Here is a 16,932-nt window from a genome sequence, read left to right on the forward strand (position 1 = left end):
CTGCAGCTGTCCTGCGGGCAGCCCTGTCCTGGACGTCCCAGGGTCTGCAGGACACGGGGGGCGCCCAGCCTCGGAGGAATGGGTGTGTTTGCTTTCTCCAGAGGCTGGCACAGTCGTTTGGAGTCCCTGCAAGCCAGGTGGGCAGCACTGCCTTAGGTCCCCTCCCCCAGGAAGGCCTCCTTCCTTCCTGTTGCCCCAGCCTGCCCTCTGTGTGTGGGAATTAGTCCCAGAGGACAAGGGCCTCTTGCAGCTCCCTCCACAGTGCCTTGAGCTGAGTTCCCCACCGCCTGGGCTCCATCCCTGCCTTCCAGTGCTCAGCTGGCCTCCTGGAGCCTCGGGCCCCCACCTCAGCCCTTCCCACCCTATGCCCATTAGTCAGAAGCAGAGCAGCCGTCCCAGGCTGAGGCTCAACCCCTCACTGTCCCGTGTGTCTGCCTGTCTGCGCAGGGTGCGAGGAGCTGCTGAAGGATGTGCTGTCGGTGGAGAGCGCGGGGACGCTGCCGTGCGCGCCAGAGATCCCAGACTGCGTGGAGCAGGTAAGGCTTGGGGGGCCTCAAGGACCTCCATGGCTCTGCCTCCTCCTTCTTGGTCTTGCCTTTGCTCCATTTTCAGTATCTGGGAGGACCCAGAACCTCCCTCTGAGGACCCTTCTTGAGCATCAGAGTCAAGAAATAGTTTTTGGAACAGGAGCCCTGAGTCCCCTTGGGAAGCCCCAGCAGAATGTGTAACAGCTGGGGGTCCTCACCCAGCAACTTTATTTCCCATCTGTGGCACGGAGGAGAGACTGAGTTCCAGACAGGGAAAGTGGCAAGTGGAGGGGAGGCAGGACTAGAATTGTTTCCTTTTCTTCTGCACCATCGCTCTCTGAGCTGAACGCTTCCTGTTTGTTTGTTTTCAAACAACAACGAATTCTCCAATTCTCTGACACTAACTGGTGTCCAGCAATCAGTTCCACCTGCCACTAACTACCCAGCATTAGCACAGACTCCATGAGTCAAGGTCAACTCCATGAGACTGCCCCACCTCCCACGCCAGCTGCAGTTCTTCCTGGATAACTGCAAACACAGGGTTCCCAGGACCACCTCCCTCGGGCTGGGTAATTCACTGGAAACACTCAGGAAATGGTTGTACTTACGATGATCAGTGTATTACAAAGGATACAACTCAGGATTAGCCACACGGAAGAGATGTACAAGACAGGGTATGGGGAGCAGGGATGCAGAGCTTCCGCACCTTCGCTTAGGGGCGCTGCCTCCCAGCACATCACCGTGCTACCAGCACCCGGGCTCTCTGCATCTCATTGTTCAAGAATTTGTAGGCCTGGCGTGATGGCTGATGCTTGTAATCCCAGCACTTTGGGATGCTGAGGCAGGAGGACAGCTTGAGCCCAGGAGTTTGAGAGCAGCCTGGGCAAGATGATGAGACCCCGTCTCTACATAAAAACTTAAAATTAGCTGGATGTGGTGGTGCACACCTGTAATCTCAGCTACTGGGGAGACTGAGGTGGGAGGAGCACTTGAGCCCAGTAGTTTGAGACTTCAGTGAGCTGTGATTGTGCTACTGCACTCCAGCCAGCCTGGGTGACAGGGCCAGACTCATCTCCAAAAATTAAACAGTTTTTACAACCCAGTCTCCAGCCCCTCTCCTCTGCCTGGAGGTTGGGGGTAGGTGGGAAGGTGAGAAAGTTCCCACCTTATTGTATGCTTGGTCTTTCTGGTGACCAACCCCATCCTGAAGCTCTGTATCAGGAAGCGGGACAAAGACCACAGTCCCCAAGGCTCTGTTTTTCTGTTATCATTGCCTAATGGTGTGTTTCTTATGAAACTTTGAACTAGTTTTCCAAGCAGTGCAGCTTCATCCTACAGAGAAACAGTTGAAGGTGCACAAGCTGACAACCAGCGAGGTCCCTCCTGGTGGCAACACCCAGAACTAGAAGAGGATGATTTTGATTTCTTACCCAGCCCAACCCCCAAACCTTTTCCCCAGTTCTGATGGGTGCCTCCTCTGGACCCCAAAACATGAGTATGTTTATAGCTGAAGGAGATCCAGGACCCCAGAGGCCACTTTGGCTGATGGTAGGCCTCTTGGAATCCAGCTGGGTCGTGGGGTCAGGGTTAGGTTCCCTGGGCAGGACTGGAGGAGGGACAGTCCACAGAGAGGGACACAGTGCTGAGGGCTGCCAAGTCCATGGTGGCAGAGACCAAAGCCAGGCACCAACTGTGGGCCAGGGCCCCCAGGCTGGGAGTCAGGTGGCTAGGCCTCAGGCTGCTGTGCTCAAAGCAAGAGCCCTCAGGGATGCGTGGAGATAGCTGGGCCCCAGGCCCATGCCCATGCCAGCAGTGATGGCTCCAGGCCTGTCTTGATGGGTCCAGCAAGCAGGGGTTGAATATGTATTTGGGGCCAGCTAATGGAACCAGGATTAGGAAAGAGGACCTCCACTGTGGGACAAATACTGAGTGCCCCAGGAACTTTGCTGGGGGGGCCCTTCCTGGATTGCTGAGCAGGAGGCAGCGTGCAGAGGTGTGCAGGACTGGGTCCATACCCACGTGGGCCACCCAGGACAGGCCATGGAACCTGAGCACGTTCTTCTCAACCCCGCTGAGCGTCAGTGTCCTCAACTGTAAAACAAGGCTTGCTGTGCCAATCTGGAGGGTCTGTTGTGAAAGTTCAGTGGGAAGACAGACCCCTAATACGTGCTAATTCCTCGCCGCCTGCTGCTGTAAGAAAATGGTGCTGAAGTTACCATTTGCATTTTTCAGTTTACCCTCGGATACTGGTGTTGCAAAATTATGTTAAAGTAAAGCCCTGCCCCAGGAACTGGAGGGCAGAGTGGAGCCGAGGCCTGGGGAGAGGGGGTGGGAGTTGGGGTAGGGGTGACGTGTTCCCTGTAGTCTTTGGCTGCTTTTGTGGCCCCCACATTCTGCCATTCACACCTCTGGAAAAGGTGGCACATGGAGAAAAGATGAGCAGGGGGTGCAGAAGAGTGGGCCTCCACCAAGGTACTCTTTTTTGTAAACCGATATTGCTTTCCTCCAAAGTCTAGAGGTTATGGGAAAGCAGAAAGAAAGACCGCGTCAGCCTATCTCAGCAAGCCTGGTGCTTCTCCTTGTTTCTTCATGGGACTTTGCAATCCTATAGGTTTTTGTTGCTTTGGGTTTTGTTTTTTGTTTTTTTTTTGTTTTTTTTTGTTTTTTGTTTTTTTTGTTTTTTTTGTTTTTTGAGACGGCATCTTGCTCTATCGCCCAGGCTGGAGTGCAGTGGTGCAATCTCGGTTCACTGCAAGCTCCGCCTCCCGGGTTCATGCCATTCTCCTGCCTCAGCCTCCTGAGTAGCTGGGACTACAGGTGCCCGCCACCATGCCCAGCTAATTTTTTTTTGTATTTTTAGTAGAGATGGGGTTTCACCATGTTAGCCAGGATGGTCTCGATCTCCTGACCTCATGATCCACCCGCCTCGGCCTCCCAATGCTTTGGATTTTAAGCTTCTCGTGGGTGAACTCCTTTCTGCCCTCCATGGAGGTCTGGCCCCGGCTTGGTTGGCCAGAGCCTAGTGAGATGGCGGTAGCTGTGGACACAGTGGCAGCCTTGTTCATTATGCTCGCTGGGGCTGCTTGGTTGACCTGGACTCCATTCCCTACCATGGGCTTCTGCGTGTTGGCAGGGAGAGGAAGGGGGCACAATCCGAAGACCAGCCTGACGGGGCAGACGGCTTCTGGATTGTGAATGAGTCCTCTTCCTGGCTTAGGCTCCTGTAATAGCAAGGTCAAGACCACAGCTCTGCAGATGAGGTGTCAGAGTGGGCTGGACTGGGCAGGTCCGAATTTCTCAGGCCCGGCTCTCTGCGCCCTGCTGTGTCTTAGCTGTCCCCTAGGGGTCAGTCTGAGACTGAGAAGAAGCGGGTGCCTGGATCACTACGTAGGCTTCCCAGATGCCCCCAGGGAACGCAAACCTGAGGCATGATTTGAGGAGGTGTGGGGATGACACACAGATGGGATGGCAGGCGCTCCATCCCTGTGCCATGCGTGTATGTTGGGAGGTGAAGCTTGTTTTTCGGGCACAGCCCCCTCCCCTCAGGGTGTGGACGGAGACCTCTGACTTAACCACTGGATGTGGCTCGTAATTAAAGCAGTGAATGCTTGAGTGCTGGCTGGTGGGCCAGCAGCTGCCACCTGGCCCCTGAGAGCACCCTGCCCTTCTTGACCCCCTCCCAGGCCCCGAGAAGCCTCTAGCGTTGGGCATCAAGCAGGGGCCCCTGGGGTTGCTGTCCAGACCTCAGGCCAGTGCAAGTCTATCCCGGGCAGTTGATGCCTGGATGCACCAGTTCCTGACCTTACTGGATGTGGCTCCACCTGCGTCCCCAGAGCCCTGCGAGACCCTGGCAGAGGGAAACTTTGAGGCTTGGGAACCCCAACTGTTGAGCAGGCTGTTGAGAGAGTTTCCTGACCCAGGGAAATTTGCTTCTGGTCAAAGGGAATGTTAGGTGTGTCCTGAAGGACTCCCCAGGTTCCCTGGGTCCATGCATGGGGTCCCTGGAATCGCCCTGGGAGTCCCTCTGAGACTGTCCTGCTCAGGCTGCCCATCAGCCCCCAGTCCATATGCTATAGGGGCCCCCGTGGGGAGGGGGCATGGAGACACGTGGAGAGCCCGACACTCGGGTGCTAAAGGCAATGGGATAGTTGCTAGGGGCCCGTGGTCACCCCTCAGCAGGCAGTAATGTGAACCCTAATCCTACAAGTGCTGTAAGGCCCTGGGCCCTGTTCATCCACCCTATGGTGGATGAAATGGAGAGGGCATCCAGCCACCTGCCCCTCCTGTGTAGCCACCACGCCAGCAAATGGTGTCAGTAGCCTCCAACCCAGAGAGTCATCCTCAGCGCCTCCTCATGCAGCTGCCTTGAGTCCTCTGTTCCCCACTCACCCCTGCCTCCCCCTTCCATCACAGCCACTGCCACCCACTGACCGGGCGTCCTCCTGTCCTCAGCCTTCCTCTCTCCACACCCCCATCCCGCTCCTGGGACCCGTCCTTACCAAGGGATGAAAACCAACATCAGCTCCTACCCACTACTCTAGCCTCATCTCTCACCATGGTGCATCTCACACCTAAAACTGGCGATACCAAACCGCTCCCCGTTTCCTGAGAAAGCCATGTTCTCTCTTGCCTCTGAGTGTTATCTTTCTCCTAGGATGTCCTCCCTCCCGCTTCCTTGTCAGGAGCTAACGTCTACTCACCTTTTTAAGACTTACTTGCCGGGAGTGGTGGCTCATGCCTGTAATCCCAGCACTTTGGGAGGCTGAGGTGGGAGGATTACTTGAGCCCAGGAGTTTGAGACCAGCCTGGACAATATAGTGAGACTGCTTCTCTTAAAAAAAAAATTTTTACTTAGGTACCGCCTCCTCCAGGAAGCCTCCCTGACTCCTTCTGCCCCAGCCCAAAGGAGAAGGACCTGCACTGAGCTTCCTGGGGGCCCTTCACCCTCTACCACTGCCTGAACCTCACCCTTCATGACAGCCAGCCCCATGTCCACCCAGTGGCTTCAGGGCTCAGGCTGAGCTCCTCCTTTTCACCCCCAGGACAGCACCCACAGCAAGCATCGTTATCCATGCTCCTTGGGTGTGTCTCTAAGTATTTCTAGAACTAGGTATCTGGAAGCAGAATTGCTGTGTCAAAGGGTATGTAGATTTTGTTTTTTAACAGATACGGATGAAATTTTCTTCCACAAAGCCTGTACCATTTGTATCACCCAAGCACTATATGAGATTGCCCCTTTCCCCATGGCCTTCGCCAACCCCGGAAGCCATCCATCCACCTGCTGGTCTCCGGCCTAGCAGCCTGAGGGGAGGAAAGCCCATTGCTGCCGTCCTCTGTGCTGCCCAGCTTCCTAGGGAGGCGGACCATCTTTTTCTTATCTTCCCATACCCTCTGGATTTCTGCTTTTACGAATTAGCTATTCATATTCTTTGCCCATTTTCGATATGGTTGTTTGTCTTTTCCTTATTGATTTATAAGAAATCTCTGTATATTCTGTTTTTTGCTTGTTTGTTTTTTGAGGCAGTCTCGCTCTACTGCCCAGGCTGGAGTGCAGTGGCTCAATCTCAGCTCACTGCAACCTCTGCCTCCCGGGCTCAAGCGATCCACCTGCCTCGGCCCCGCAATTAGCTGGTACCACAGGCACACGCCACCACATCCAGCTAATTTTTGTTTTTTTGTTTGTTTGTTTGTTTGTTTTGTTTTTGGTAGAGACAGGGTTTTGCATGTTGCTCAGGCTGGTCTTGAACTCCTGTGCTCAGGTGATCTGCCCACCTCGGCCTCCCAAAGTGCTGAGATTACAGGTGTGAGCCACAGCAACAGGTTGAAATCTCTATATATCCTGATTATCAATCTTTATGGATTTTGCTTGTGTTTTAATCTTGTTTTAGGAGTGTTTTATTACACAGAATGTTAATTCTGATGTCATCATTTATCAACCTTTTTATGCCATTTGCATTTTGTGTATCATTTTGTGCCTTCTGTACCTCCAGGCTATAAACATATTCTCCTATATATAGTTTTCAGATACTTTTGAGAAAAAGAAGTATTTATGCTTAGCTCTTTTATCCACCTGGAGCTTATTTTTGCTTTTGGTGGGAGTAGAGATCTGGCACTCTTACTTCCTCAATATGGCCAGTACTTTGAGTTCCTAATGTTGAATAGTCCCTCTTTCTCAATTGATTTGAAATTTTATCTTTATTGTATGCTAACTTACCTTATATACGTAGGTCTCTTTCTGGACTCTGGTCTGTTATATTGATCTGTTTGTCTACCTACTTTTAAGCCAAAACCATAGTTTCAGTTACTCTTGTTTATAGTTTGATATCTGATAGGGAAAGGCTCTCTCATCCTTCTTTGTTTCTTTAACCTTTAAGGCCAGGTGCGGTGGCTCATGCCTGTAATCCCAGCACTTTGGGAGGCCAAGGCAGGTGGATCACCCGAGGTCAGGAGTTCAAGACCAGCCTGACCAACATGGTGAAACCCCATCTCTACTAAAAATACAAAAATTAACCAGGCATGGTGGCACATGTCTGTAATCCCAGCTACTTGGGAGGCTGAGGCAGGAGAATCACTTGAACCCGGGAGGCGGAGGTTGCAGTGAGCTGAGATCACGCCATTGCGCTTAAGCCTTGGCGACAAAGTGAGACTCTGTCATACACACACACACAAAAACAAATAAAAAAAACTGTTTTTTTGTTATTCTTACATATTTTCTTTTCTGGAACAGCCTTTTTGTCAAGCTCTATTGCAAATCCTGTAGGAGATCATATTTGAAATTAAATTTGTGCATTAATTGAAGGAAATTGGCTTCTTTACAATATTGCATTCTGTCATCCAGGAATGCATATATCTTTTCATTTATTCTGGCCTTTTATGCCCTCTAGGAAAGTTTTCTGTTGTTTTTCTTTTTTGGTTTTTTGGGTTTTTTGAGATGGAGTTTTGCTGTTATTGCCCAGGCTGGAGTGCAGTGGCTGGATCTCTGCTCACTGCAACCTCTGCCTCCCAGGTCCAAGCGATTCCCCTGCCTCAGCCTCCCTAGTAGGTGGGACTACAGGTGCCCACCACCATGCCCGGCTAATTTTTTGTATTTTCAGTAGAGATGGGGTTCTACTACGTTGGCCAGGCTGGTCTCAAACTCCTGACCTCAGGTGATCCTCCTGCTTCGGCCTCCCAAAGTGCTGGGATTACAGGTGTGAGCCACCGCATCTGGCCGGAAAGTTTTATAATTTTCTTAAATAGGTTATGCACACTTTCTTCTTAGGGTGACTATATTTGGAGTTTTTGTGCTGATATGTGTAGGATCTTTTTGCTATGATATTTTATAACTGGTTACAACTGATGTATAGGATAGGTTTTCATTTTTGGTGTTAATCTTGTCATGATAACCCTATTAAACTCTCCTTATTTTATTTATTTATTTATTTATTTATTGAAACAGGGTCTTGCTCTTATTGCCCAGGCTGGAGTGCAGCAGTGTGATCTCGGCTCACTGCAATCTCTGCCTCCCGGGTTCAAGCAATTCTCCTGCCTCAGCCTCTCGAGTAGCTGAGATTACAGGCGCCCACGACCATGCCTGGCTAATTTTTGTATTTTTAGTAGAGACGGGGTTTCACTATGTTGGCCAGGCTGGCCTCGAACTCCTGACCTCAGGTGATCTGCCTGCTTTGGCTTCCCAAGGTGCTAGGATTAGAGGTGTGAGCCACCATGCCTGGCCCATTAAACTCTCTTTATATTTAATAGTTTATTTATATGCTATTTTCTATCATGCTTAATTCTATATAACAAGGTAGCCATGCTGCCATTTTAAATTTTAAATGGCAACATGATATTTCATCACATGAAGACAACCAAATTTATATACCAGTTTCTTATTGTTGGGCGTATATACACTTTTTTTTTTTTTGAGACGGAGTCTCACTCTGTCGCCCAGGCTGGAGTGCAGTGGTGCAATCTCGGCTCACCGCAAGCTCCGCCTCCTGGGTTCACGCCATTCTCCTGCCTCAGCCTCCCAAGTAGCTGGGACTACAGGTGCCCGCCACCACGCCTGGCTAATTTTTTTGTATTTTTAGTAGAGACAGGGTTTCACTCTGTTAGCCAGGATGGTCTCGATCTCCTGACCTCGTGATCCACCTGCCTCGGCCTCCCAAAGTGCTGGGATTACAGGCGTGAGCCACCATGCCCAGCCAGGTGTATATATATATTTTTAACGTAATTTGGGGAATGAACAAAAGCAGTGTAATAATCATTCTTATAGCTAAGTATTTCCCCACAGCAGCAATCGTTGCTTTAAAGTAAATCAGAGGTTGGCAAATTACAGACCCCACGAGCCAAATCTAGGAGCTTGTTATTGTAAATAAAGTTTTACTGGAACACAGCCACACCCATTTGTTCACATCTTATCTGTGGCTGTTTTCACACTACAGTGGCAGAGCTGAAAAGCTGCCACAGAGGCCAAATGGACTGCAAAGCTTAGAATATTTACTGTCTGCCCTTTACAGAAAAAATTTGCCAACCCAGACGGTAAATTCAGGCAAGTGGAAACTGTTTTATGAAAAGGATGCAAAGGCTGGGCGCGGTGGCTCATGCCTGTAATCCCAGCACTTTGGGAAGTGGAGGCAGGTGGATCACCTGAGGTCAGGAGTTTGAGACCAGCCTGACCAACGTGGTGAAACCCCGTCTCTACTAAAAATACAAAAATTAGCCAGGCGTGATAGCGCATGCCTGTAATCCCAGCCTCTCGGGAGGCTGAGGCAGGAGAATCCCTTGAACCCAAGAGGCGGAGGTTGCAGTGAGCTGAGATCGTGCCATTGCACTCCAGCCTGGGCAACAGAGTGAGACTCTGTCTCAAAAAAAAAAAAAAAGAAAAGGATGCAAAATATTAAAACTGCCTAATACTAATCTGCCAAATTCCTCTGCAGGAATCCCATCAGGATTGCGTCAGATTCCTGCTACCCTTTTGATACTGGTGTTGCTGAGTTTTCAGATCCTTTAAATTTGAGAGGCTAAAATTAGAACCCCTCTTTTGAATTATAATACAGTTTAACTTCTTAAAGTACATTTTTTGGTCACTAAGAGGGCGTTCTTCATGAATTGCCTGTCGACATTCTCCACCCTGGCTATGTTTACTTCTATTGAGTATTTTTTAAGAACCAGAAATATAACTTTTTGACATACATTAAATTTTTTCCAGCTTGTTATTTATTTTTAACTTTGTTCATGATACCAAATTTAAAAATTTTTATAGCCAATTCATCATTCTTTTCCTTTATGGCTTCAGCCTTTGGTGTAATGCTTATAAATGCTTTCCCGCCCAAGATTGTGAAACTGTTCTGTTTTATTTTTGTGTATTTGATTTTTAATTCGTAGAATTGACTGATGTCTAGAGTGAGGTAGGGATCCAGTTTGCCTTTTTCCTGTCAGTTCCTCTTGCCCTCCCTCACCTGGCTGGAACCAGCAGCTTCTTGCTAGGCTATGCTTACGCACGCAGTCCCCTGATGGCAAAGGAAGTGAGGTTTGCCCGGTGCAGTGGCTCAGGCCTGGAATCCCAGCACTTTGAGAGGCCGAGGTGGGCAGATCACTTGAGGCCAGGAGTTCAAGACCAGCTTGGCCAACATGGCGAAACCCCATCTTTACTGAAAAAAAAAGAAAAAAATTAGCCTGGCATGATGGGGCATGCCTGTAATCCCAGCTACTTGGGAGGCTGAGGCACAAGAATCACTTGAACCCAGAAGGCAGAGGTTGCAGCCAGCAGAGATTGTGCCACTGCACTCCAGGCTGGGCAACAGAGCAAGACCCTATCTAAAAAAGAAAAGAAGAAAAGAAATGGGGTTTGCTGGGAACCCAGACCTGAGCCTGAGCCCAAATTGGCTCTTTTGCTCATATTCAGAAGGGGCTTTGCCAAACCCTTGTCTTCCTGGAAGTTTTTAAAATGATGATAACCTGTGCCTCTCTCTAGAACTTGCTGGGGAGGAGGCCTACAGCCTGAACATCTAAGCCCACCCTCGCTTCATTTCATCCATCCTGAAACAAGCATTTCTAAAACCACTCATGACAATGGCACTTATAAGTTCTAAAAATACTTTTCCTGACAAACAGCACTGTGATTCACTGTGCTGGTGGAGGTGTGGGTGGGGTGCCATGCTCCCACTGGTGTGGTGGCAGGAGGGAGTTTCAGAGCCCAGGGAAGCAGCCTTTCTACTTATATCTGGCCCCAATATATTTTTCTATGTTTCAACACCCCCCCCACCCTTCTAAAGAGAAAAAAAAATCTACTTATCCCAAGCCTCAGAGCTTCTGTAAGATCCTCGATTTGTGTCTTTGGGAAATAACTCAACTCTGATTAAGCCAAAGGTGGCGGGGATGGAAGCAGTGCAGATATGGAAGCCCCTTTTGTTCGTTGCCTCAGCCTGGTCTGCCCTGGACCGTGTGTCTTCTACCTCCTACCCCTGACCATCCCTACCCTAGAGACGCTAAGCTGAGCTGGCCAGCAAGTGCTACTTCCCACGGGCCACCTCCTGCCTAACCCAACCCTGACGCCCAAGTCCACATGTATCTTTAGAACCTACTCACCAAGTTAGAGCTTGACAAAACCTTGGAGAGGCTCCTTACATCCCGTCTTTTTAAAGCTGAGCAGGAGGGAAAAATTTGGGTTTTATGAACCTGTAGGACATTAACCACCTTCGTATATACCTTTCCAGTCTCATTTCAGCATCCTTTCTTTCCCTGATTACATAGACTTTGATCCCTCCCCTTCTCCTTTGGATGAGTTATCCCTACCTGCTGCTTCCCTCATTAATGAGTCTAGTGCAGTGCATTTTTGAAACAGTAACTGTGGGAAACACACAAACACAATCACATGAGGGCAGATGTTCTCCGAGAAAGCACGGTCGAAACCAGTGGGGACTCTGGGTTAGCAGGGCCTATGGTGCTTCATGTGTCAGAGGCTGAACTGGGATATCAGTGGAGATTCTAAACTCACCATCCAGTTTATAAACCTCTGAGGGCCCAAGCTCCTGCTGCAGATGGTGCAAGAATAAAGAGTAGATCACTTTTACTAAACAAAGACCTAGAGAGTTGACTTGGTCTCCAACTTTTTATTTTGAAAATTTTCAACCTTCAGAAAAGAGCAGAACAATGAATCCACATATATCCTTTGCTTGGATGACAGCTGTTAACATGCTGCTAAACTGAGTTTCTCTGCCCCTGTGTTTGTTGGTGGGGTGCATGTGCATACATACTACTTTTTTTCTGGACCATTTGAAAGTTAGTTGCGGACATGACACTTCATCCTTAAATACTTGGCCATTCCTAAGAAGGACACTCTCCTATGTGACCACAATATAGTTATGACTTGCAGGAAACTTAACATTGGCACAATTTGTTACCTATTGTAAAATCTACATTCAAATTTTCCCAATTTTATATATATATATATATATATATATATATATATATATATATATATATTTTTTTTTTTTTTTTTTTTTTTTTGACACGGAGTCTTGCTCTGTCACCCAGGCTGGAGTGCAATGGCGTGATCTCCGCTCACCGCAACCTCCGCCTCCTGGGTTCAAACGATTCTCCTGCCTCAGCCTCCCGAGTAGCTGGGATTACAGGTGCATGCCACCACTCCCGGCTAATTTTTTTTTTGTATTTTTAGTAGAGACTGGGTTTTACCATGTTGGCCAGGCTGGTCTTGAACTCCTGACCTCGTGATCCACCCACCTCGGCCTCCCAAAGTGCTGGGATTACAGGTGTGAGCCACCGCACCCAGCCATCCCAATAATATTTTTATAGCTTTTATTTTTATCTCAAATCTAATACAGGATCACACAGTAGTTTAGTTGCCATGTTTCTTTAGTTTCCTTTAATCTAGAAGAGTTCCTTGGCTTTTTTTTTCTTTTCTTTCTTTCTATTTTTTTCTTTTTTTTTACTCCTAATGACATTGACCTTTTTAAAAACTTCAGGCCACTTGCTTCGAAGAATGCCCCTCAATTTAGATTTGCCTTTATTGATTTTCTGGTCCTTTGGGGTACTGCAACTTAAATTTAAATTAAAAATAAAATGGTGTGGCGAGGAGGGGGCCAGGAGGGGAGTTCTACTGTGTTTATTTTTCAAGTCTAAAACACATTTAAAATGCATATTGTTGGCACCCACTCAGTGGGCCTCAGTTTTCCCAGCTGAAACATGATCTAAACACCCCTTGCAGCTTCTGTCCCTTCTGGCATTTGGGGAAAAATAAATGCCTAATTGTGTGTGTGCGGCCGAGCGTCCACCCTTGGCATCTCTCAAATTGTGGGGAGGCAGCCGGCCTTGGTACTTTCTGGCTCCAGGAACACGCCATGGGCCATTGAACGTCTGTGCGATGGGTAACGTCTGTGCGATGAACACTGTACACTGGGTACAGTGTTAGGAGGTGTGGGCTCTTATACATGACCAGGCCACATCTCCATCCTCTTTGGGCTGAGATTAGGACATTGGAGTAGGTGTATTTGTCTCCTGAGAGGGGCAATCTCAAGAGAAAACTAGAAAAGACCCCCCCCACGTCTTTGGGGGGATTATCTGAGATAATGTGGGGAAGAAATCCAAGCCCCTAAGATACACTGGACGGTGCTTCTCCGGGTACCTGTGCCCGAGGGAGATACCAGCCACTTGCTGGGACACCAGGGGGCATCTTCCTGGAGCAGCAGATTGCCTGGAAGAATTGGAGAAAACATTGTCCAACATTAAAACAAACATGGAACATAATAAACATATTTTGAAGATAAGAAAGAAGCCTGTAATCCCAGCACTTTGAGAGGCCCAGGCTGGAGGATCCCTTGAGGCTAGGAGTTCAAGACCAGCTTGGACAGCAAAGTGAGACCCCCATATCTATTAATACAAAAAAGACAGGCGGGTGCCGTGGCTCTCGCCTGTAATCCCAGTACTTTGGGAGGCCAAGGCGGGCGGATCACGAGGTCAGGAGATCGAGACCATCCTGGCTAACACGGTGAAACCCCGTCTCCACTAAAAATACAAAAAATTAGCCGGGCGTGGTGGTGGGCGCCTGTAGTCCCAGCTACTCGGGAGGCTGAGGCAGGAGAATGGCGTGAACCCGGGAGGTGGAGCTTGCAATGAGCCGAGATTGTGCCACTGCACTCCAACCTGGGCCACAGAGCGTGAGACTCCGTCTCAAACAAAACAAAACAAAACAAGACAAAAATTAGCTGGGCTTGGTGGCAAGCACCTGTGTGTCCCAGCTACTTGGGAGGCTGAGGCAGGAGGATTGCTTAAGCCCAGGAGATTGAGGCTACAGTGAGCCGTTTGTGCGACAGCACTCCAGCCTGGGCAACAGAGCAAGATCTCATCTCAAAAAATAAAGTAAAATAAAGATAATGAGAAAGACTTTTATCAATTTTATTTTACTTTATTTTATTTATTTATTTTTTTGAGATGGAGTTTCACTCATTGCCCAGGCTGGAGTGCAATAGTACGATCTTGGCTCACTGCAACCTCCGCCTCCCGGGTTCAAGCGATTCTCCTGTGTCAGCCTCCCAAGTAGCTGGGATTACACACGCGCACCCCCATGCCCAGCAAATTTTTGTATTTTTAATAGAGACGGGGTTTCACCATGTTGGCCAGGCTGGTCTCGAACTCCTGACCTCAGGTGATCTGCCCACCTCCACCTCCCAAATTGCTGGGATTACAGGCACAAGCCACCGCGCCCAACTGCTGTATTTTATTTTTGAGACAGGATCTCACTCTAGCACCCGGGTTGGAGTGCAGTGGCGCGATCTCAGCTCACTGCAACCTCCACCTCCCAGGCTCAAGCAATCCTCCTGCCTCAGCCTCTTGAGTAGCTGGGACTACAGGCATGCACCCAGCTAATTTTTGGATTTTTGGAGAGACAGGGTCTCACTATGTTACCCTGGTTGGTCTTGAGCTCCCGGGCTGAAGCGATCCACCTGTCTCGGCCTCCCAAAATGCTAGGATTACAGGTGTAAGCCACCGCGCCCTGCGGGAAAGACTTTTTAAATTGTTTTGCTTTAGAGGCTGCTCTTTCGAGTCCCACTTCTACTGTAGACCCATGTCCATCTTCTGCTGTGGGGCCGCTTTATGTAAGGTATTACTGTTATTGCTATTTTGTTTTCCTTTTCTTTTTTTTAAGAAACAAAGTCTTGCTCTGTTACTCAGGCTGGAGTGCAGTCACTGCAGCCTCAACCTCCCAGGCTCAAGCAATCCTCCCACCTCAGCCTCCTCAGTAGCTGGGACCACAGGCTCATACCACCACATCCAGCTAATTTTTTTTTTTTTTTTTTTGGCAGAGACCGGGTCTAGCTATGTTGCCCAGGATGGTCTCAAACTCCTGGCCTCAAGCAAGTCTCCCAGCTGGGCCTCCCAAGGCACTGGGATTACAGTCATGAGCAACCTCTCCTAGCCCTGTTTTCTTGTAATAAAGTAAATGCAGTGTTCATTTTAGTAACAAAACAGGTCTTCACTGGGAGGGAGAAATGAGGAAATTTGACCCCGCGTGGCTGAGGCCTGGAATGAGCTCCATGGGCAGGCTCCAGGAATGATGTAATTTTGCCTCCTCTCAAGGCTGGCCTCAAGGAGGCCTGATTCCAGCCCTCTTTGTCTGGGGCTGCCCTGAACCTGTAAGAATCCTTCTGACCAGATCCTCCAGACACTGCAAATTCTCACCCAGGTTGCTCAGAATCCTGGAAAGAGCTCAGGTTTGAGTCAAACGGGCTGAGTGTGGGTTCTGCTTGACCACTTTCTGTGTGTCATTTGGCAAGTCGCTTCACCTCTCTGAGCCTTTTTCATTTCTGCCTATCTAAAATCAGAGTCGTCAGCCTGATTTTCAGTGTTGTGGTGAGAATGCAATGGATTAATGTTTCTAAAGGTTCCTGAGGAGACAGGTCCCCCAGTCAGTAGTACCTATGCCTGCATTCTCTGTACCACTCAGAACCCTCAGGGGAATCATTCAGGACACAGGGGACAGAATTCCCTCCCCTTCCCATTCCCAAAGTCACCAGCCTGCCTCCACCTGCACCCACACTTTCAGCTTGCTGCTGGGATGGTGAGTGGCATGACCCTGCTCTGACACAGGCCATGCCCTCCAATCCCAGCTCCTCACCCGCACACCGCCTGAACACTGGATCCCAGCCCCTCCTGCCAACTCAAGCACTCGCCTTCACAAACAGCCCCTCACCCACAGCACCCGCACCACGCCCCTGCTGGGTCCTTTCCATTCGCTTCTGGAGCTGACATAATAATGCCCTTCCCATGGGCAGGGAAGCACCCGCTTGACCACACATCCTGGCTTTCTTTCCTTTGGTCTATTTCCTCCAAAGACTGGTCTCAACTCCCTTTCTTGCCTCCCTTTCTCTCTGTTGCCACTCCCAATGATGTCTTGGCCCCTCTGTTCTGCTGAAACACTTCTCACAGTCACCAGGGACTTCTTTTTGAGACAGGGGTCTCACTCTGTCACCCAGGCTGGAGTGCAGTGGTGCAGTCCTGACTCACTGCAGCCTCCAACACCTGGGTTCAAGCAATCCTCCCACCTCAGTCTCCCAGGTAGCTGGGACCACAGGCATCTGCCATCATCCCCAGCTATTTTTATTTTTTGTAGAGATGGGGGTCTTGTTCTGTTCCCCAGGCTGGAGTGCAGTAGTGCAGTCCTAGTTTGCTGCAGCCTCAAACTCCTGGCCTCAAGCAATCCTCCAATCTCAGACCCCCAAAGTGCTGGTATGGCAGGCATGAGCCACCTTGCCTGGCCACCAGGAACTTCTCACTGGCCAAATCCAAGCATCAGTTCTCTAGTCACATTTTTACATAGTGATGGTGTGTGGTGAATAGATCAGGGTAATTAGCATATCCACCATCTCCGGCATTTATCATTTCTTCATTTTGGGAACACTCGATAGTCTCCTAGCTACTGAAAACTCTGTATTATTGTTAATGATAGTCATCTTACAGTGATGTAGAACAATGGAACTTATCCCTCCTCTAGAACTGTAACTCTGTACTTTTAACAAACGTCTCCCTACTCTCCTTCCCCTGCCATTCTCAGCCTCTAGTGTCCTCTGCTCCATTCACATTTTACTGGAACCCTGGGCAGGGCCTGGCACAGCCAACCTCTCCCTTCTCAGATCGTCCTTTTAGCTCAAGCCTTCCTCCTACCTCTCAGGCTGCTTTTCTCCCCGCACACCACCCCCCCGCCACCGGCTTTATTATTATTATTATTATTATTATTATTATTATTATTATTGAGACAGAGTCTCCCTCTGTCACCCAGGTTGGAGTGCAGTGGCGTGATCTCAGCTCACTGCAACCTCCGCCTCCGGGGTTCAAGCGATTCTCCTGCCTCAGCCTCCCAAGTAGCTGGGATTATAGGACGGCGCCATCACACCCGGCTAATTTGCAT

At 49.3% G+C, this 16,932-nt stretch overlaps 1 protein-coding gene across 1 annotated transcript in view, besides 4 other annotated features; it reads left to right on the top strand.

Annotated features, from left to right (window-relative positions):
* RAB11FIP4 (RAB11 family interacting protein 4) overlaps positions 1 to 16,932 on the top strand; it is a 146,537-nt gene that overhangs the window by 41,912 nt on the left and 87,693 nt on the right. The window contains exon 3 of the mRNA NM_032932.6: positions 448 to 536. Coding sequence (NP_116321.2) covers positions 448 to 536 — 89 coding nt within the window. The remainder of the gene's footprint in view (positions 1 to 447; positions 537 to 16,932) is intronic.
* Positions 121 to 850: an enhancer, noted in NCBI's record as "H3K27ac-H3K4me1 hESC enhancer chr17:29760725-29761454 (GRCh37/hg19 assembly coordinates)". NCBI's record gives its function as "activates a minimal SCP1, AML or CMV promoter by ChIP-STARR-seq in naive and primed H9 embryonic stem cells {active_cell/tissue: H9 hESC(naive and primed)}" and the evidence as "EXISTENCE:reporter gene assay evidence [ECO:0000049][PMID:30033119]".
* Positions 1,512 to 2,012: an enhancer, noted in NCBI's record as "H3K27ac hESC enhancer chr17:29762116-29762616 (GRCh37/hg19 assembly coordinates)". NCBI's record gives its function as "activates a minimal SCP1, AML or CMV promoter by ChIP-STARR-seq in primed H9 embryonic stem cells {active_cell/tissue: H9 hESC(primed)}" and the evidence as "EXISTENCE:reporter gene assay evidence [ECO:0000049][PMID:30033119]".
* Positions 2,013 to 2,513: an enhancer, noted in NCBI's record as "H3K27ac hESC enhancer chr17:29762617-29763117 (GRCh37/hg19 assembly coordinates)". NCBI's record gives its function as "activates a minimal SCP1, AML or CMV promoter by ChIP-STARR-seq in primed H9 embryonic stem cells {active_cell/tissue: H9 hESC(primed)}" and the evidence as "EXISTENCE:reporter gene assay evidence [ECO:0000049][PMID:30033119]".
* Positions 3,949 to 4,058: an enhancer, noted in NCBI's record as "active region_12011". NCBI's record gives its function as "activates an Ori minimal core promoter by ATAC-STARR-seq in GM12878 lymphoblastoid cells {active_cell/tissue: GM12878}" and the evidence as "EXISTENCE:reporter gene assay evidence [ECO:0000049][PMID:35858748]".

Source organism: Homo sapiens, chromosome 17, assembly GCF_000001405.40.
Source record: "Homo sapiens chromosome 17, GRCh38.p14 Primary Assembly".
NCBI lineage: Eukaryota > Metazoa > Chordata > Mammalia > Primates > Hominidae > Homo > Homo sapiens.